This window comes from Homo sapiens, chromosome 6 (assembly GCF_000001405.40).
Source record: "Homo sapiens chromosome 6, GRCh38.p14 Primary Assembly".
Classification (NCBI taxonomy): Eukaryota; Metazoa; Chordata; class Mammalia; order Primates; family Hominidae; genus Homo; species Homo sapiens.
Window position 1 is genome coordinate 1047012 of NC_000006.12, and position 21586 is coordinate 1068597.

The 21586-nt window shown below is 44.6% G+C and overlaps 1 long non-coding RNA gene across 2 annotated transcripts in view, besides 1 other annotated feature; it reads right to left on the bottom strand.

Moving 5' to 3' along the window:
- The window catches only part of LINC01622 (long intergenic non-protein coding RNA 1622), a 140330-nt gene that overhangs the window by 86009 nt on the left and 32735 nt on the right, over window positions 1-21586 (bottom strand). The gene's annotated exons all lie outside the window — the stretch shown is intronic.
- Window positions 19122-20321: an enhancer, noted in NCBI's record as "CDK7 strongly-dependent group 2 enhancer chr6:1066368-1067567 (GRCh37/hg19 assembly coordinates)". NCBI's record gives its function as "activates an origin of replication core promoter dependent on BRD2, BRD4, P300/CBP, MED14 and CDK7 cofactors, with strong dependence on CDK7, by STARR-seq in HCT116 cells {active_cell/tissue: HCT116}" and the evidence as "EXISTENCE:reporter gene assay evidence [ECO:0000049][PMID:35650434]".

Genomic DNA, 21586 nt, shown 5'->3' on the forward strand with positions numbered 1-21586 from the left:
TTCATGCCTATAATCCCAACACTTTGAGAGGCCAAGGCGGGCGGATCTCCTGAGGTCAGGAGCTCAAGAGCAGCCTGGCCAACACGGAGAAACTCCATCTCTACTACAAAAATTAGCCAGACGTGGTGGCGCATACCTGTAATCCCAGCTACTTGGGAGGCTGAGGCAGGAGAATCACTTGAACCCGGGAGGCAGAGGTTGCAGTGAGCCAAGATCGTACCATTGCACTCCAGCCTGGGTGACAGAGCAAGACTCTGTCTCAAAAAAAAAAAAAAAAAATTACAGCTAGATAAGAGGCATGAGTTCTGGACTTCTGCAGCACCACAGAATGAATATGGTTAATAATAATTTATTGTATATTTTCAAAGAAGTAGAAAAGAAGATTTTGAATGTTCACAACACAAAGAAATAATAAAGGTTTGAGCTGGTGGATTTGTTACCCTGATTTGATCATTATACATTGAGTACACAAATATCACTATGTATCCCATACATATGTATAATTATCATGTGTCAACTAAAAATAAAAAGCATAAAAAACCCAAAGATATTTGGCTACCAAGTTCTTGGTAGACGTGGAGCCTCAAGATCAGTTCTGGGTGGATTGTGAGTATCTTCTAGACATCCCTCAAGCCATTCCAATTTCTTTTCGACTTTCAGCATTTCCTCTTGTCAGAGTTTGTATTCAGCTTATGAAGCAACCATTTTAACTATTTTTCTAGAATCTCAGTAGTTGCCTTCCTGAGCAAGTCATTACCACGAGGTTTTTATTCCTGCTTTCCATGGCTAATCACACTCGAGGGGCCACATACAACCCTCCAGGAAACTGACCACAGGTCACTTCTTCATTACACGAATACTTTAAGAGACGTCTTAATTCTTCTTCCAGCTTCTTCAGCCTTTTCCCCACCCACCCCGACCTCCACAGGAAAGAAATAAGACCAAGGAAAGCAGCAGCACGCCCTCCCTCTGCCACTGTCACTTCACAGCTCCTTCCCAGTAGAGCCCACTCTAAGCCACGTCCGTGGCCTCTGCCCGCTTTCTGCTCAGGAGTTTGGGGCTGGAGGCAGACTTCGCATTTCCACGTTGCTGCTGTCATGCCCCAAAATAGTAACTCCCCTCCCACCGTCCTTCAAACACACACGCTTTTCCCTTTGCTTGCTTGACTTGCACAAAAGAAAGAAAACATTCTCACATCCTGGACTTCTGCCAGCATTCAAAAAGAATTAAACTTCCCTCATTTTCAAAGAGACTCCTTCTCCAAGGCTTCTAAGCTCAGATGTTCAACTCCAGGGGGCTGCTGAAGCTTTGCTTGACCTTTCCTTGAGACCTACCTACAACACAACCAGCGACCTTGTGGGCAGAGGGACAAGGGTTTTGTTATCTGTTTCCTGTTGTCTCGGCTGCTCAGGCTGATGGGGACTGGGAGTCTATGGCGGGGCAGAGGTTCCTGCTGAGGACAGAAGTGAGCTCATGTCCATCGGCCTTCCGGAAGAACAGGCTCAGCGCCTGTCCACTTTCAGCCTCTTTGCTATGTTCTGTCAAATGTGTTTTGAAATCTGATGGGAATTTTTCAGGTTTCTTCTCCCGAATTTTCTCACCCAGTGGTCTCAAGCCTGTTGACAGTAGTAAGCACCATTATGTCTGCGGTGGGAGGAGTTGTTTCCTACCCGAGGTAGATGACTGGGAAAACAACACAGTGTAGCAGAAAGAACCAGGTTTTCATCATCAGACCAGCTCGGATCAGTGTAACAAACCTGCCACTCATTCGCAGTTTCTTGGACAAGAAACTGGCCTTTCTGAACATTAATTTCTCTGACTTTAAAATTAAAAACACCTATTTCTGCCTTACATGTTTTGTTTCTTAATTTAAAAATCATCCATGCAAAATTACTTGGGCAGTGCTTGCCACAGTGTGGGTCATCAACACCTTGTTGTGGGAAGTATGTTTTCCATGCTCTTTGACACTTTGCATGAGCTAGATCACAATAGGAACTTAGGACAGCCACAGAATGATAGATAAGGATTAATCTTTTATCTTTTAGAGATAAAAGCTAAGTAGACATTGAGTTTTTTTAAAATAAAACTGATGGACTGTTAACGAAAATGAATGTTCACTTCACCTGTTGTGCATGAAAGCACCCCATTTTTGCAATGGATACTTAGCAGTTGAGAAGATTGAAAACATTTAGGCCTCAGAGTCAAGGAGTAAGGTATGATTCAAACTTGCTAAAAATAAAATGTGGAAAATTTGAATACAAATTCCAGCATTTCAAGCCCCGAATGCTCAGTAATATGAATATGAAAAAATAAGTTTTACCTCTGATTTCCATCTTCAAGCATATGTACAATTTCATTTGAAAGATGTATTCAATCTATTTATATCTGCTCTGTCTTAGGACCTAGGGATTCAGCAGTGAACACAGCAAGCAATTTTTTTACATTCATGGAGCTTATCTTCTGGTAAAGTTTCATCTTGGACATTTAAAATTAATACCAATTCCTGCACTTATTTCTGAGAAATTTTAATTCAATTGTTGTATAGGTTGGGGCCAAGACTTGATTGTTTTCCAAAGTTCTTCAAATGACTGTTACCTGCAGCCAAGATTGCATGGCTGGTAAAGGCCCTCGCAGATCAGCTGAGGATGCTGGGTTTTATTCCAGTGAGATGACAAGACGTGGGGGCTCTTGAGCAAAGGAGCACTGTGATCTGATGAGCATCCCAACTGACGTGTGCAGACAAGAATAATGCTGATGGGAGGACAGCAGGGGAAGGGACCAGTTAAATGAGACGAGCTCCTTAAAGAAAACTCTAACATACAGCTACAGAAATTGATGAAATACTAAATTATATGCCCAGTGGCCCAAAAGTGTGATGTAAAATTTGAAAAGGGAAAAAAAGTTCAGGGTGTGATAAAGTTGTCAGCGAAGGATTTCTGGAGGATATGGGTCTTTAGGCTGGAGTTTGAGAAATAGGTGAGATTTCTCTAATCCACAGAAAGGGTTTCCCTAATACCCACATGGCACGTTTCAGCAAGAGAAGCAGCATGAATGGTCACGATGCATGAACACGGCCTGACTTGTTCCAAGGCCAGATAAAGAACTGGTCCAGCAAGTCTTAGGTGACAGTGACAAATGAGACAGTGGGCACAGAGAGGGGACAAAGTATGGAGGAACTGGGAAAAGACTTCTGGGTAAGAGTGTATGAGTGGAGAAAACTCAAACTGTGTCTCTACCACTGCACGCTCTGACACCAGATGTGTGAGGACAACCTGATTGTCCTCCAATTCAATTATAACACTCTCCACCTGGAGACAGGGTCAGATCCCATAGTGGAGGGCTCAGTCTCCAAGACTGTTCACCCTTCAGACACCAGTGACAAGTCTAGGTCTGGGGAAATTTTGACTGAACGGCTTCAAGTTGGGGTTCCTACAACTCCCTCTTTGGGTTTGATTGGTTTACCTCAGTGGCTCACAGAACTCAGGAAAACATGTGCATTTACTGGTTTATCATGAAGCATATTACAAAGTATAAAGATTAAGAGGTGCATAGAGCAAGGTAGGGGGGAAGGGACGCAGAGCTTCCTTGCCATCTCTAGGCATGCCTCCCTTGAGGAACCTCCCCCCGTTCAGCTACCTGGAAGCTCCCCAAACCCAGTCCTTTTGGGTTTTCATGGAGGCTTTATTATGTAGGTAGGATTAATTAGACCATTGGCCATTGGCAATCAACTCAATCTTCAGCCACTCTCTCCTCCTCAGAGGCTGCAGGATGGACTGAAAGTCCCAACCCTCTAATCCTGGTTTGGTCTTTTCAGTGTCCAGCCCCATCCTGTCCAGGAGCTGCCTAGGAGCTGTCAGCCATCAGTCAACTCATTCACATGAAAAGACACTACTTTGGACATTCCAGGATATTTAGAGTTGTATGCCAAGAAGTGGGTTGAAGACCAAATACATATTCATGGAATGACACGATGAAAGAGTGGTTTTAGCTCTCTGTAAAACCATGTAGGATGGATACTGAGAGAGGATGACTGAAAGCAGGGATCCAGAGAGGAGACTGTGGAAGCCATCTCGGTGTAGGTGGTGAAGACTCAGACGCACAAGTGGACATGTGCACGGAGTGGAAGGAGCAGACCCGCTGGCCATTCTAAAGGAAAACACAGTCGAGCTCCATACGGGAATAAATATGAGTAATGAGAGAGAAGAGGGAATCCAAGATCTACAAGGCTTGGCCTTTAGAAGGACTGGCATGAAGAGGAGATACTTTGTTTGTTTCAATATTCATGGTGGGTCTTTTATTCTCCAGGTTCTTGTCTCTGTTTTCTGTTGTTTATAACAGAATACCCACAACTGGGTGCTTTATTTTAAAAAGGCATTTATTTCTTATAGTTATGAAGGCTAATAAGTCCAAGGTCGAGAGGCTGTATATGGGGCTCCAGAGCCTTCTTGCTGGTGGGGCCTCTCTGCAGAGTCCTGGGGCAATGCAGAGCATCACATGGTGAGGGGGCTGAGCATGCTAGCCAGATCTTCCTCTTCTTATAAAGCTGCCAGTCCCACTCCGAGGATAACCCATTAATCTATTAATCCAGTCATCCATGAATGGATTAATTCATTCATCAGGGAAGAGCCTTCCTGAAAGATCTCAACTCTCAATATTGCCATGTTGGGGATTAAATTTTAACACGAGTTTTGAAGGGGACAGACATTCAAACCATAGCAGTTCTTATTGGCTGACATTAACTGTAACAACTTCCATTGGCTTTGCTGCTGGATTCATAATGCTTGCCCTTGAAAATACCCAGTGATTTTAGCCTGTCCAAGAGGGCCTCATCAATAGCCATGAAGGGCCCCTAGTGCTCTTCTAACCCATTTTCTTCTTACTGAGGTCTGCATTCGTCTGTTGGATCTGCCATAACGAAATCCACAAATGAGGGGGCTAAAACAACAGTCATTCATTTCTGCACAGTTCTGAAGGCTGGAAGTTCCAGAGCAAGATGTGGGCAGGATAGTTGTCTCCTGAGGCCTCTCTCCTTGGCTTGTCAATGGCTGTCTTCTCCCTGTGTCTTCACATGGTCACCCCTCAGTCTGTGTGTTGTCTTAGTCCTAATCTCTTTCTATGAGGCCATCAGCCATCACATTAGGGCCCACCCCTATGACCTCATTTTACCTTAATTACCTCATTAAGACCCTATCTCCAAGACAGCACATTCTGAGGTCCTGGGGGTCAGGACTCAATGTATGAATTTTAAGGAGAACAGAATTCAGCCCACAACAAGGTCCCTGCAGGAAGAGCTTTTGAGGGTGACCCCTTACCAAGATCTATCCTCAAGGACGACATCAATATGTGAGCCAGTAGTGTCTTCTCCCAGCGTTCCTGCAGCTGCCAGCCTTGAAGATGCAAAAGCACCCTGTGTGCTCTTTGGTCCTTCTTTGCCCGAGACACCCTGTACTCCCCACACATCCTTGGTCACTGGGTTCTGGATCTCACCACCTCTTCATGAAGATAGTACCTCTAGCTCCTCTTTCATGAGGCTCAGAGATGAGTCCCCAAGGCTTGGCTGGTGGTAGGTTTCTGTGACCTGTCCACCTGAGGGTGTATTCAGAACCACTTCTCCCTTCCTGACACTAGTTCATCTCACTGGAAAATGAGTTCATTCCCAAAAGGATCCATAGCCCCCCATCCTTCTGATGCACTTGGCATTGCCCAGTAAGCTGTGACTCCTAAACAGTGGGCTGTGTGGAATGATTTGTGCTTCTATGTTTTGCTCTTAAAAGACAACTTTCACAGAAGGCTTTTTATAGGTATGTTTTCTGTAGGCTTTTTATGGTATCTTTCTGAGATACTTTTGCTGTTGGTACTTCATAGCCTCTGTCATAAACTAGGATGGAGGCCGGGTGCGGTGGCTGATACCTGTAATCCCAGCACTTTGGGAGGCCGAGGTGGGTGGATCATGAGGTCAGGAGATCGAGACCATCCTGGCTAACATGGTGAAACCCCATCTCTACTAAAAATACAAAAAATTAGCCGGGCATGGTGGTGGGCGCCTGTAGTCCCAGCTACTTGGGAGGCTGAGGCAGGTGAATGGCGTGAACCCAGGAGGCGGAGCTTGCAGTGAGCCGAGATCGTGCCATTGCACTCCAGCCTGGGTGACAGAGTGAGACTCTGTCTGAAAAAAAAAAAAAAAAAAAAAAAAAACTAGGATGGAATTTCATGAAAGCTTTGAAAGAGGAGGGAGAAAAAGAGTGAGCAACCAAGTGACTACTTACTCTATGAGGACAGGGGCAGTGTCTGTCCTTTTCACCCATGTGTACTCAGTGCTTATCCAGTAATTGACACATAGGAAAACATCAATAACTGTGGATTGTTGAAGGCATATGTGGCAATGGTAACTAAGCACTTGAACAAGACAGAGATCCAATAACTAATTATCATTTGGAGCTTAAATCATATTCTCTGGGTATTTTTTTGAGCAAAGACATACTGGAAGTCTTAGTCCTCCACAACGGACCCCAATTTAGGTCCGAAAACTCACATAGGCATAACCATAGCCATGAACATAAACACAACCACGGACACAGACACAGACATAAACACAACCATAGCCATAACTACAGATGTACATGTAGACATAAACATAGTCATCAATGTAGGTATCAACAGCAACACAGAAGTAGACATAGACCTAGACATAGCCATAGCCACAGCCATAGACACGGCCATCAACACAGACGCAGACATCAACAGCAACGTAGACATAGACATAGTCATTAATGTAGGTATCAACAGCAACATAGACGTAGACATAGACCTAGACATGGCCATAGCCACAGCCATAGACATAGCCATCAACACAGACACAGACATCAACAGTGACGTAGACATAGCCATAGACATAGCCTAGCCACATCCATATATATAGCCATCAATACAGACGCAGACATCAATCGTGACATAGACATAGCCATAGACACAGCCATAACCAGAGACACAGACATCAACAGCAACATAGACATAGACATAGCATAGCCGTCAACATAGACATAACCATCAACATTGCCATCAACATTGACACAGACATAGCCATCAACACAGACATCAACAGTGACATAGACATAGACAAAACCATAGACATAGCCATTAACATCGACATCTACACTGATATCGACGTAGACAAAACCATAGACATAGACATAAAGGTAGCCATAGCCATAGAGGCAGACATAAATATAGACGTAATCATAGACACAGCAGATGTAGCCGTAGACACAGCCATAACTGCAGCCATACCCACAGACACAGACATGCACATATTCATATCAGTAGTTCTTTGTCTTCTGTGGACACTGCTCAAGCAAAAGAAATTTGGAAACAGGAAATTCTACTCACTAAGAGTGTTTCTGTCCCATTTCTAGCATCTTCTCAGCCACATAGTACAGTGTGTGCACCATGGTTTCATAGTGTTCTGGATGCTGCTGGGGAAGTAGTGACTATCCCCCTTCAGCACACCCATGGCACAGTACACATCCTGGATTCTGCAAGCCATATCTGGCACTGTTGCCACTTCATCAGTTCATATTGTGGGAGGAATTAAGATGTGAGCCACCGCGCCCGGCCAATCATGACACTTTTGACGTGTTAAGTCAGATAATATTTTGTTGTGGGAAGCTGTTCTGTGTATTGTAGGCTACTTAGAAACACCCCTGGTCTCCACCCACCGCTGAGGGCCAGGGACCCCCTTCCCCTTGTGGTGACAATGGAAAGCATCTCCGACTTTGGCAAATGTTCATCACCTCCTCCCTCCCCAGACACCGGTTGACAACCAGTGGCCCAGCACACAGGGAACAGAGTGGGGAATAGATATGGGAAAGGAATTTCTAGAAATCTCCAGGAGCTCACCACTGTGGCAGCAGGGATGAGGAAATACATCAAAAGGTGATCTAAGTGGGAATTAATTTGATCTTGGCTTCCAACAGCTCCCCTTCCCCATCTTCCTGCCTCCTCCACCCCCACCGGCTATGCACATTCTTTTCTCTTTCACTGAACCTGTTCCAGTATCTGTGCAATCCTCCAGATCAAATTCATTTGCCTTTGACAATTGCCCCTTTGATTCCATGTGGAGGGGGAGGGTGGGCTGTCCCGTCCTGCGGTGAGAGGCTCCTTTCGGTTCCCTGTGATCTCCCTAGGTGTATAGATTGCAAAACTCAGGTATAGACAAGGAGCTTAGACAATAGACAGACTCATTAGGGAGCCCTTTGAAGTGAGCAAACAAGGCAGTGGCAGACGCCTCCTCTTCCCCTTTCTCCCTCTCTCTTTCTTCCCGTCCTTCATTCCAGATGCCCATGGTGGGAACTGGCAAAGCAAAGATCGAAAAGGATGGAATGAGGAAAGAAGTGAGTCTTTAGAGGAGATGTGGAAGCTCCCCGTTGCCTCCTCTCCTCACTGGGCAGTGAGCCCAGGAGGCAGCACCCTGCACGGTCACCTGAGACTGGACCTGAGGCTGGGGGAGGCACTTCTGAGGCCAGACCTGGTGTTACTGTGGGGGCTGCAGGGGATGGGTGCTGGGGTGCAGATGACAAGCAGGCTAGATGGACGTAAAGGCATGGCCTGAAACGTGTCGGAGGGAACAACTCTTCTCTACTCCAAACTTCCTTTCCACATGTGGGTGAGAAAAGTCCACTTAAAATCTCCAGCCCCTGCCTTTCCTCTCTATCCTCGGAAATCTGTCCATGCTCCAGGCCACGAGTACCCATCCCAGCGGGGGAATAAGACCTACCTATCCCCTGTGATTCCTGACTTCATGCCACTGCCCTGGAGAATAGCACAGGCTAAAGGTGCATTTGCATACGGAATAAATGCAAGGAGGCTGCTGCTTTGACCTTGCCTTATTCAACACAGAGACTGGAGGCTATCCTAAAAGAGCTAAGGCCAGCATGAGAACAAATGAACCACAGGGCATCTACTGTCAACTGGAGAAGACCCGTGAAAGCAATATTTCTAAAACAGCATGATAGCAGCTTTGAAAATCAAAGCAGGAGGACTTCCTGGGACTTCATGGAAAGAACCATAACATCTAGCAGGTCCCACTTCATGGAAGTCTTTGGCGGGGGGAGTGTCACCTCTGAAGTATCTTCAAGTCTTTGGACTTTGCACTGTGCACAGCAAGTTTTCTTGCTGGAGAGAAACCAAGCCCTTCACTGACACTACTTTCAGTGTTCACAACGCACTCCAGGGGAGGGGCTGTCAATCAGGCTTCGGGGTAAGTGACCTCACTCGGGCCAGTTAGAAAGTCAGTGGCACATCTGGAAGCAGAAGACTCCACAGCCGGCCGGACGAGGTGGCTCAAGCCTGTAATCCCAGCACTTTGGGAGGCCGAGGCAGGCAGATGACGAGGTCAGGAGATTGAGACCATCCTGGCTAACACAGTGAAACCCCGTCTCTACTAAAAATACAAAAAATTAGCCGGGCGTGGTGGCAGATGCCTGTAGTCCCAGCTATTCAGGAGGCTGAGGCAGGAGAATGGCGTGAACCCGGGAGGCGGAGCTTGCTGTGAGCCGTGATCCTGCCACTGCACTCCAGCCTGGGTGACAGAGCGAGACTCCATCTCAGAAAAAAAAAAAAAAAGGCTCCACAGCCCTGGGTGTCCTCATCTGGTGTCTGGGAGACAGTGAGCACCGCCTATCTGGGACACTGAGCCACCGGCAGCCTTGACAGAGCCAGGACATGCGGCCCCACACAGGGCAAACACAAGGAGTCGGTGTGCTGGCCCCTGGCTCCGGCCCCTCCGGGAGCTGCCAGAGACCCTGTGTTAGCTCTGTGCTATCTTCCAGGGGGCACACCAGATTCCACAACAACCCCCATCCTTTAAATAATATGGTCTCTCCTTTTATGAGCAAATTGCAAACTGTTTATCATGAGATTTTTTGAAGTATGACTTTTGTTATAAAAGATTAGAGAGTTTTTGCTGAGAAATAGAAGAAAACAAAAGAAAATAAACTATAGTCCCACACGGTTATGCAAAGATAACACAAAAGAAAATAAACTATAGTCCCACACTGTTATACAAAGATGACTATTGCTAACATTTTGTTTATATTCACCCAGTCTGTTCTTTGCAGGATGTACTTTTTTTGGGAGAGTTGATGTCTCCCTATGTTGTCCAGGCTGGTCTTGAACTCCTGGCCTCAAATGACCCTTCACTTTGGCCTCTCAAAGTACTGGGATTACAGGCCTGGCCAAGATGTACATTTTTAAAGATAAGCTATTTATCACTCTTCATTAATTTTCCCCAAATGCTTTTGCTTTTTGGAAGGTGTCACACATGTGTCACACACGTGATATGCAAGTGTGTCTTACTGCAATGGTTCTCCATGGTTTTCGATGGGCATTGTACTCACCTATGGAGGTTTTGAAAATATGGATGCCTGGGTTCTGACCCCAGAAGCCCTTTTCTTTTTAATTGGTTTGGGTGTGGTCTGAAAATCTGGATATTTAAACTATCTCCAGTTAATTACACTGTGCAACCCGTGTTGAAAATCTGCTCCTGGGTCTTCCTGCTAATGCCCTTTTCTGGCAAGCGCCAGCCTATCTGGGCCAGCGTCAGCCCTCCTGTGTTACACGGAGCTCACCAGAGCACAGCCTTCGCCCCAGTCCCGCTGCTGCTCCCTGCAGCTGTTGCTATCTTGCTTCCACCCAATGCTGTCCCTCAGCGCTCCCCTTCCACATCCCACCCAGTAAGGAACTACTCGCAGCGACCCCATGGCGACGTGATTTCTTTCTGCAGTGCAGACCTACTTGTTGTAGGCTCAAGGGTGGAGTTAGCAATTTAAAGAATTAAAATGTAGGTTGCCACCCATCTCAGCCTGGCATATGCTCCCATCATCCCCAGGAGGCAAGTAAAATGTATAGAAACCAGACAGCAGGTTCCAGCATCTAGACACCTGAGAACCATAAAAACGAGTCCCTGCTGGCTGTGCCGGCAGCCTCGTCTTCCTGGAGAAGATAAGAAGAGATTAAGATTGCTTTTGGAAGCACTCTAAATGCTAGGTTTATGATAAAGCTCATCTGCCACTTGCAATCAGAAAGTGCTAGTCCTGATAACAAGAGTATTAAACCTCTCCTGGCAGATTTCTGTGTCTTTTTTGAAAAACAACAAGATGGAGGTTTCTTTAATGCCTGTTCTTACCTTTCCTGTTTGTCTGGGACATGTGGATATCTTCAAAAAGCCCATACATTATCACTTGGGTATATGGGCAGCTTAAAACTATGTTTTGCAATATTTTACAGTTGTCCAATTGTCCCCAACCCCTTGTAGTTATGTCATTCTGCAGGTCTGAATGACATAACTAGAACTGATTTGAAGAAGAGTCCCAGTCATTACTGATACTGTGTTTCTTCCAACTCTTACACTCTGGGATCCCATATCCAGGGAAGAAGGCACTGTGGGGGTGAGTGCCCCAGCACGCTAGGCCTAACTGTGTTTTCCCACAGCGTGCTGGTCAGCAGACACAGAGTGTGGTGTGGCAATGACTGTATACAAAGCCTCTTGGTTTAAATAACTTCAGGCCAAAGTGTTGGCCAGGGTGAACCTGTTGACCAGGGGACACAAAGGAGGTAAACACTAAAACCTTTGGGACCCTCGTGCACTGTTGGTGGGAATGTAAAATGGTGTAGCCACTGTGGAACACAGTATGGCAGACCCACAAAAAATTAAACAAAAAATTATCCTATGACCCAGCATTTCCACTTCTGGGTGTGTACCCATAAGAATTGAAAGCAGCGTCTCAAACAGATTCCTGTAGAACCACATTCATAGCAGCATCATTCACAGAAGCCAAAAGATGGAAGCAAACCCAAGCATCCATCCTTAGATGAAGGAATCCATCAGGAAACACGGTCTATGCATACAGCATGGAATTCAGTGTCAAAAGGGAAGGAGGCCGGGCGCGGTGGCTCACGCCTGTAATCCCAGCACTTTGGGAGGCCGAGGTGGGCGGATCACGAGGTCAGGAGATCGAGACCATCCTGGCTAACACGGTGAAACCCTGTCTCCACTAAAAATACAAAAAAATTAGCTGGGCGCGGTGGCGGGCGCCTATAGTCCCACCTACTCAGGAGGCTGAGGCAGGAGAATCGCTTGAACCCGGGAGGCAGAGTTTGCAGTGAGCCGAGATCGCGCCACTGCACTCCAGCCTGGGCAACAGAGCGAGACTCTGTCTCAATAAAAAAAAAAGGGAAGGAAACCCTGACCCATGCTGCAACATAGATGAACCCTGAGGACCCCAGGCTCAGCGAGATAAGCCACTCATAAAAGGACAGATACTGCATGATTCCACTTACTTGAGGTTCCTAGACAGTCAAAAATCACAGAGACTGAAAGTTGAATGGGGGTTGCTGGGGCTTGGGGGAGGGGAGCGGGGAGCTACTGGTGAAAGGGGACAGAGTTTCAACTTGGGAAGGTAAAAAAATTCTGGAGATGGATGGTGCTGATGATTACACAACAATGTCAATCAACGATGCCACTGAACAGCACATTTAAAAATGGTTAAGGTGGTAAATGTATGTTACGTGTATTGTTCCACAATTTAAAAAAACTAAAAACTCAAAACCTTGCTTTTATGAACTTATACAGAAAACAACACAAATCTCCTCAATGTGATGGAGAATCACCTTTGTGTAAAGTGGCTTAGTTGCTGTAAGAGCTCAGAGAGGGGAATGTCAGGCTCGGGTGGAGGTGGGGATCTGAGAGGGACTGGGGCAGAGAGTCACGGGGTTGAGCCCTGCCGGTGAGGCAGGTTTCAGAGGCCGGAGGAGCCTGGGACTCAGGACAGAAAGAATTTTATTTTCCTCATGATGCCTTGGGGGAATGAGGATTAGACACACTAGTTTCTCTTCTTTTTCCATTTTGCTACCCATTGGAGACGCTTTCTCTTTCTATTTTCCCCCAGAGAACGCAGACTCACAAAAAGTGAATGACAAAGAGGATCTCTGTGGTTCCAGAAGGCGGTGAGTCCGGGGAAGGATAGCAGAGAATCGAAGGCACCACAGCGGTTTCAATAGTTGTCTTTTGATTTTGAAATAATTTCAAACTTACTGAAAAATTGCAAGCATAGTACAAAGAATTCCATATACCATTTTTCTGCCTTCTCCAATTGTTATTTAGCATACCTACTTGATGATTTTCCCTTTTTTACATCTATATATCATACACACACACACACACATATAAATGCACACGCACACACTTTTTACTCTAAACACATATTTTCTAAAGGCAAAGAAGCCTTCCTATAAGCACAGTACAACCATCCAAATCAAGAAATTAGCATTAACAACAATGTGAACATAGCAACCACCACCAAACTGTACACTTAGAAATAATTAAGATGGTAATTTTTATGTTATGCATTTTAACTACAATAAAAAATAAGTTAAAAAGAAATTAACATTAATACATCATTATCCTCTAATCCACTGACCCCATTTAAATTTCACTATTTATCCCAATGTTTTTACTGCAAAATATATACACTCAAAATATATATAAAATATATACTATTACTATCTATCCATCTACATATGTATCTATCTGTCTCTCTGTATGTCTATCATCTACCTATCTATAATCTATATATCTATATAAATAGATATATCTTCCTACCTATGTATCTATCATCTATCTATCTATGCATGTTTGTCTGTTTATCTATCTATGTAACTATCTATCTATGTATCCATCAATTTATGTATCTGTCTGTCTGTCCATCTATACACACAGTGGTCCAGGATGGGATGAAGACTGCACGTCGCACTTGGCTGCCATGTCTCTCCTCCCCTCCTCTGAGGAAGAGCTGCTCAGTCCTTCCATATCTTTCATGGCCTCAACATTTTTGAGAACAACAGCCACTAAAGTGTCCCACAATTTGGGTTTATCTGGACCTGTCCTGTGATTACGTTGAGGGTGTGCATTCTGGACAGGAATCCCGCAGAAATGGTGTCTTCTCAGTGGCTCACCCGGCAAGATGGGTGATGTTGCAGTGTCTTACGGCTGCCCAGGCTGAATCAGCTCCCCTGGCGGGACGGTCTTCCTGGCTTCTCCACTGGAAAGTTCTTGTTTGTGCTTATAGTTTCTGACTATTCTGTAGTGAAAAACTCTGAGATAGGCAAATACCTCCTTCCTTATCAAACTTTCCTCCACTGGTTTTAGCACCCATTGGTGATTCCTGCCAGAATCAATTATTACTATTTTGTTTCCAAATGGGAAATGTTTAATTTCACATCTCCTTCTACACTTAATTGTTGGCATCCTACTATCAGGATAACTTTTACTTTTTCTCCCATGTATTTTTTTTTTTTTTTGCATCACAGTAAACTCATGAATTCTTATTTTATTCAGTGGGTTATAATCTGTTATTATCACTTATTTTGATGCTCAGCTTATCCAAGATCTGGCCAGTGGTTTCACCTCTGCGTGGCTCCTGCATCCTTTCTACGCCCCCATCATTCTTGGACATGTCCTTACTTTCTGGTAAAAGATTTTCCAAGCTAATCTTGGAATTACCCTGCCTCAGCCTGGAATCAGCCATTTTTCCAAGAAATTCTGCATTCTTTTAGTGGAGAATGTTATTTAGAAACCAGTATGTGGATGCTGGATAAGCTCATTGCTATTGCTGTACGTTCATTGAGCTCTTCAGCAGAGGGAGCTAGGAGGTATACGCTTATATGCATATCCCCCCAACACACACACAGGCAAGTATGTCTATATCCATCTCTAACTGTGTATACTAAAAACCTTGAGTTCACCCAGATACCACCGATTCCAACCCAACACCACAGGGTTTGTTCTAGCCTCCCCACTTTCTGCACTTACAACTCTCTTCTTCAATGGTGAGGAACCTGACTCCCTCTGTCCTCAGCACAGTCACTCACCTTCTCAATCCCATGCATGCACAGTCTCCAGGTTGGTCACCTCCTCTGTCGTCCCTATGCTGGCCTCTCCTCATCCCCTCCTCAGCCTCAACCCACCAGGCCTTCTCTGAGCTTCTCTCCTGGGCCCCAACCACTCCCACTGCCTCTGGCTGCCTCTGGAATCTCACCTCGTTGGCCTCCTCCAATAGATATTATTTAAACAAAATAAAGAAAAAAATGGAAGCAATGGGAAGGATAACATCTTTATGTGAACTCTCTTACAGCTGACCCTTGAACAACACAACAACACAGGTTTAAACTGTGCAGGTCCACTTATATGCGCATTCTCTTCCATATCTGGTACCCCTGAGACAGCAAGGCCAACTCCTTCTTTTCCTCCTCCTCCACACAATTTTCTTAATAACATTTTCTTTTCTCTAGCTTATTTTATTGTAAGAATACAGTATGTAATACATACAGCATACATAACGTGTTAGTCGATGGTTTACGCTCTCAGTAAGGCTTCTGGTCAACAGTAGCTGTTAGAGTCAAGTTTTTGGGGAGTCAAAAATTGTATGTGGGGTTTTGACTTGCAGGGGTCACCACCCCTAAACCCTGCATTGTTCACGGCTCAACTGGTGGATGCTCCTGGAATCTTGCTCTCTCTCTCTCTAATTTGTGGTTATCAAAAGTATGTAGAAGAAAAAGTTGTCTCCAAATCTGGAGGGTAAGAGGATTAGGGTGGGGAAGGTATAGGGGTTTGGGAGTGCTCTCTAGGGATTGTCTGGAAGCTGCCCCTACCTTCAACTGAGAATAGCTTCTCTAGATACAATTACTGCTTCTCGAAAGTTTCTCATTTACCACTGAAGTTAAATAAATAGAATTTGTATTTTTTGGATTCTATGACAATAATGATAACATTTGTCATAGATGTAATATTAGCTTTGCAGGGGAAAATCCTCTTTACCTTAAATGTGTGTATTAGACAGGATAGGACAAGCTATGCTGTGGTAACACACAAAGGCCACAGCATTCTTTCACATCATCACGGTTCATTCCTTTCTCAGGTCACAGTTGAATGTGGGCCGGGCCGCCACTCTCCTTATGCGGGGATGCCCTCTAGAGCACAGGTCCCCCACTGTCAGGGGAAGAGGGAAATGAAGGAGGCTTACTAGCTTTTAGCTGCCTCAACCTGAAGGCGATGCACAATGCCTTTGTTCTTATTTCATGAGTCCAGGAAAACTGCAAAGAAGGCTGGGAAATGGAAGAAAGAGCATGGATATTTAGTGAGCACGAAGGATCTCTCCAGACTGTGTAATTGCCTAGTTACAAATACATTAAAATGAAGAGGCTTGGAATTGAGGAAGCATGTTTTAGTAATAACTAAAACCTTCTGACTCAAAGAGAAGTTGTAAACATTAGCGTCCGTTAGAAATTTAGCAGAATTTTGTTGTACTTTTAAACTTAGAAACTTTTAATGTTGGACACATGCATTGTTTTATTTTCCTTCACCAACATTTGCTGCTAAGCTGGTAGCATCATGCTCAGCATGCATACATACATACTGCTGGACTTTTGCTCAAGGATCTATGCCTCATGGTGAGTTATGCCTAGTGAAATCCTTGCCTTTACCCAAGCACGATTTTCTTCTGTGCATTCAGAGCTATGCAAAGATTGCTTCTAAGACCAGGTGTATTTTTTGTCAAGCTTGCTGTGTCATAACAATCCCCCACTAAACAGCTTGGCTTTTAAAGTGGACACAGAATGGATCTAACTCGAATGGAATTTCAGTTGACTTAAGAAGCAAATGTAGGATTCAGCTTGAAACTGTCACGAAGTCACTCCCACAGAAATCAAGGAGCAGATCAAGCCCAAATGTGCTTTCTGCTAAGAAGTATTCTGAGTTGCAAATCGCTCCCTCCCTGGTGTGTGACCGCTCTGTGCACCTCTCTCTGGAGTCCTGAGTCACTGCCTGGGCAACTCTCAGAGAACTCTACGTAGACACAGAGAACAGATAATACACTTTTATAAGTCAGTGAATCAATGTCGATTGTTGCTCAGGGCATGTCAGGGCTGTAGGAACCATATAAAATTATACAGGGCGTGAACCAGGCACAGAACAATAGAAAGAGAGGTCATGTGTTTTCATATTGATGATTAATAAGAAAAATGCAGGTTTTATTTATCCTGGGGACACGCCAGCCCACGGGCACTATGGGGGTGTGTGAGGTCCTTTGTAGTGAAAACCAACAAGGAACGAAAATGTGTAGGAACGACCTTCCTCCTTTTCCAAGTCAGGCAGCCTGCCGATAACACTGTTGGTGCGCTGTGCACCTCTGCTTTACTGCCTCCTTTCAGGCAGGTAACAAGCTTGGAAAAAGAATGACTTGCTGGACTGATACTGACTGTCATGGCCTCCAACACTCATGAGCAAAAATTCTCACATTCAGAGAGTCAAAGGCAGAGGGAAGATTTGGCACAAACTCTTGTGTTGGCAACATCAATGATCCTGGGATAGCCCTCTGAGATACACACAGGAGGCCCGTCCTCAGAGCTAACGTCTGCACTGCCCTTTACAAAGTACTTTCATGCCCCTTCTCTCTAAAATTCCTCCCCGTGGTCCTGTAAGGACAGAGGTCAAGTGTCCTCACCCTCTACCAGATAAAGAAGCACACAAAAAATTATAAGATTTGGGACTGGTGCACGATCAGGCAGCTAGTGAAGGCCAGGACTTGTAGCCAGGTCTTCACACTCCAAAGGCATTGTCGTCATATCATTCTGGGTCTCTGTGCTCAAGTGTTCTTGCTCTAAAGCAGGTATCACAAAATCATACACCTCCAAGATCCAGGTAGGGAGGGCAGGTGAGGGAGGTTGGCTGGAGGCTGGCTGGGAGGGCCCAGGGCAGCAGGACAGAGCCTGTAACACTCTGAGGTGCCTATGCACTCAGCTCCTGCAGGTCTATGCCCTGTGCAATGCAGGCCCACTGTTGCCAGGTCCTCTAGACTTCAGGAGAAAAACCAAAAACCCAACATTTTGACAGCTTTCTATTTGCAAGTGTTTGTGTTGGAAACTAATTTGATTTGTTCTTTAAATCACACACCGTTGAACTGAATTTGGTTTATAGGTTGCAACCCCTGCCTTGCAGTATCTTTGGAATTTCTGTGGGCAAAGAGTTAGATGAAGGATAAAAGGAAGACAAAAACAGGGACAGGGAACCCCAGAGGAAATGTAAAAACATGAGCACCTCCTTTGGAAAGGTAAGATCTGAAATAAAGTTGAAACAAAAGAAAGGATCAAGATGGGAGTAATTCTCCCTTGTCTGAAGGAGGAACCTAAGGGAAGTCTTGTACTGCATGGTCTTGGAAGAGAGCCTGCCCCTCAGCTCAGCTCATGGAAAGAAGATGCTAAAGATGAAGGAAGATAAATTGAGAAGAGATTTTTTGGTATGACTGTGTCAATAGCCTTAAGAGTTTTGTACATTCAACATACCTGGCTGGGCGCAGTGGCTCACACCTGTAATACCAGCACTTTGGGAGGCTGAGATGGGTGAATCACTTGAGGTCAGGAGTTCGAGAACAGCCTGGCCAACATGGCAAAACCCCGTCTCTACTAAAAATACAAAAACTAGTCGGGTGTGGTGGAGGCTGCCTGTAATTCCAGCTACTCAGACGGCTGAGGCAGGAGAATCCTTGAACCAGGGAAGTGGAAATTGCAGTGAGCCGAGATCATGCCACTGCACTCTAGCCTGGGTGGCAGAGCAAGACTCCGTAAAAAAAAAAAAAAAAAAAAAAGAAAAGCCAATAAAAACAAAACAAAAGAAAGAGAAGATGGAGAGGCAGTATGATAACCACGAAAATATGAAAATATCAAGCATCCATTAAACACTTGCTTCACACTGAACACGGTTCTAAACCCTAGATATGGATCCAACCATATAGCCCTCACAAGCCTATGAAGTACTTACCAGGATTATGCCCATATTAAAGAGGAGAAAACAGAATTGTCTTTAGGCCATGGAATTTGCCCAAGGTCAGCCACCTTGGTTGGGGCACCCATGAAAGTCTGACTCTAAACATGTGCTTTTACCTGCTTTACTATTCTACATTCTGAGGGAATAGAAGGTTCCCAAGAATGAAGAGATCAGACGGACTCACACTGATTCACGCATGACCCCCTCCTCCAGGAATGTCGGAATTCCTACAGAAACTCTTGCCAAGGTAGGATCCCGTAATCTCATCTGAGTAGACAAAGTCTTGACCAGATGAGCCAGATCCACAATGTTAAGGATTACGTCCGCGTCTATTACCCATCAATTCCACAGTGAGTGTTTGCAGAGGACTTGCTAAATCATCAAGCATAAATCGTGGCTCTTATCCTCAAGGAAATTGGGGAGATAAGATTTACACTAAAGAGAAAAGAGCAAATAATAGAATCACCACTCCAAGGCCCATCAGGATAGAGGAGGAAGTGGTACATTGGCCAGGGGAAACTAGCCCTGATTTATACAAGAGTTTGGGGAGCAACTAACCTTTTAGGCTTCTCAAAGAAATAGCAAAATCTTGAAAATAAAACTCAAATGCGTACCTTTCTACTGGCCTCATTAGCTAGGTGAGCAGAGGTGTGCTGGGGAGTGGAGGGACGCAGGGGTATGGATCCCCCTCTCCTCTCTTCACTTCTTTCTTGATCTGTAGATGAGGCCTTTGGCTCTGGCCTCTGCCAGCTTTGGGACCTGCCAGTGCAGCTGATAATGCAACAGGTTTCAGAGGACGTGAAGCCACCATACTCTGCCCCCGTCCCCAATACTGTGGGACTCCTTTCAGATGGACTAGATTAAACTAGAGGGCAAGAGGAAATTGAAGAAAATACTCGATTCCAAGAGAGCCGTTCTTCAAATTTCATAGTCATAAACCAGGAGGAGCACGTGCATAAATCTGGTCTGATGTTCCACAGCCAGGCAGTGAGCTTGAAAAGAAACAGCCCTGAGCATGCCGTCAGCAACAGATGTTCTACAGCAATTCTGTGGTTGTTAAATAACAATTTACAATGACTTATCTAGTTTCATTGACATGACTGCCCTCCGAAATCCAATTGCACGCTAGCCCTGTTGTCTTAAAATGCATTGGTCAGGAGTGCGTTGAAAGTACAATGAAAGATCTTAAAGGAATAAGTTTAAAAAAATTCTACAAGTAAAGAAGAAAGCATGGAAGCTCCTGAGCCTTGGCCTGGTGAATTCTGAAGACTGTGTGACCGTGGATGTGTCGGCCCATCTCTCAGAGCTTCTGATTCCTCAATGCAAACTCAGTAAGAATGATACACACTTTGCTCTATGGCTGGAATGGCTGGTTATGAGGCAGGTTTGTGAGAGTCCTTTGACGTTTTGTAGTACCATTAAAAGATGGAGATATTAGAAAGGCATCAGCTTGAACTAAGAGATTGCCCCTCACAGTCAAAATTTACAGGAGCAATTTTCCCTATTGGTGACTGGAATATTCTAAGATGCTGGTTTTTATTGACTAGAGGCCTGGAATAGGAGCCACAGATTCCACAGTTCCTGCCCAGCAAATACCACTCTGCCTGCACGTGAGGAAACACACACACATCCCAGACACACCCACAGCCATGACCAGCATGAAGGAGCTGACCTTGGAGCATGTCATCCCCAGGAGATTCAAAGCTGGTTCGAGGTTGGAGCAATGTTGGGCACACAGAACCCTCTTCATCAATGCAAGAATGCCTAAAAGTACATGGTGATCGCTGTTTACTCATAACAGTAAGAAGAGACAGATGTTACCCTGAGACCTTTCTAGCTTCTTGATGAAGGCATTTCTAGGGCTGTAAACTGCTTTGGATGCATCCCAAAGATTTTGGAAAGTTGTGTCCCTATATTTATTAATTTCAATTAAAAAAATTTCTGCCATGATTTTGATGCTCACCCAAGAGATATTCAAAAGTAAGTTATCTAATTTCCATATATTTGTGTAATTTTCAGAGATCTTCTTGGTATTTAATGAGATCTGAACCCCAAACCTCATCTTCACACAATATCCCCATGTAATAAATCTGCTCATGTGTCCTCTGTATCTAAAATAAAAGTTGAATTTTTTTAATTTAAAAAAAGAATAGACACATGAGTTTCTGGGAAATGAAGTGATTATTATATAGTCAACTTTAGAGAAAAATCGACACTAGCCACTGGGTCTGAGCGAGTCGAATGAGTGGATGTGCACGTGTGTGTGTGGTATGTGTGTGGGGTGACTTATCAGGTTGTCAGCATGTCAATGAGCAGACGTCCTTCTTCCGTCAGGGTTCAGTAAGTGGTAAAAGCTGACAGTCATGGGTAAAAAATAATAGAAGGTGAAACCAATGCAAGCAAACAAAGGTTGACTCACTGATGAAAATTATCTCCAAAGATAACATTCTTAGAAAAATAAATAACTCCAGTTGATAATGAAGTCATCAGGAACATTAGAGTAGCCTTTTTTTCGGATAGGATATAATTTTCTGAATTCTTGTTCTTTTTTCTTAAATTACAGTGACCACTGATACACACACAATTCTGAAATGTGCTCTACCATGCACAGAAGAGGCCCAGCTGATCACCCCACCCACCCGCTCTTTCTAAATTCAAGGTTATCCTTATGGGTGATTCTTTTCCTTTTCCATTAAAAAAGGCAACTCAATT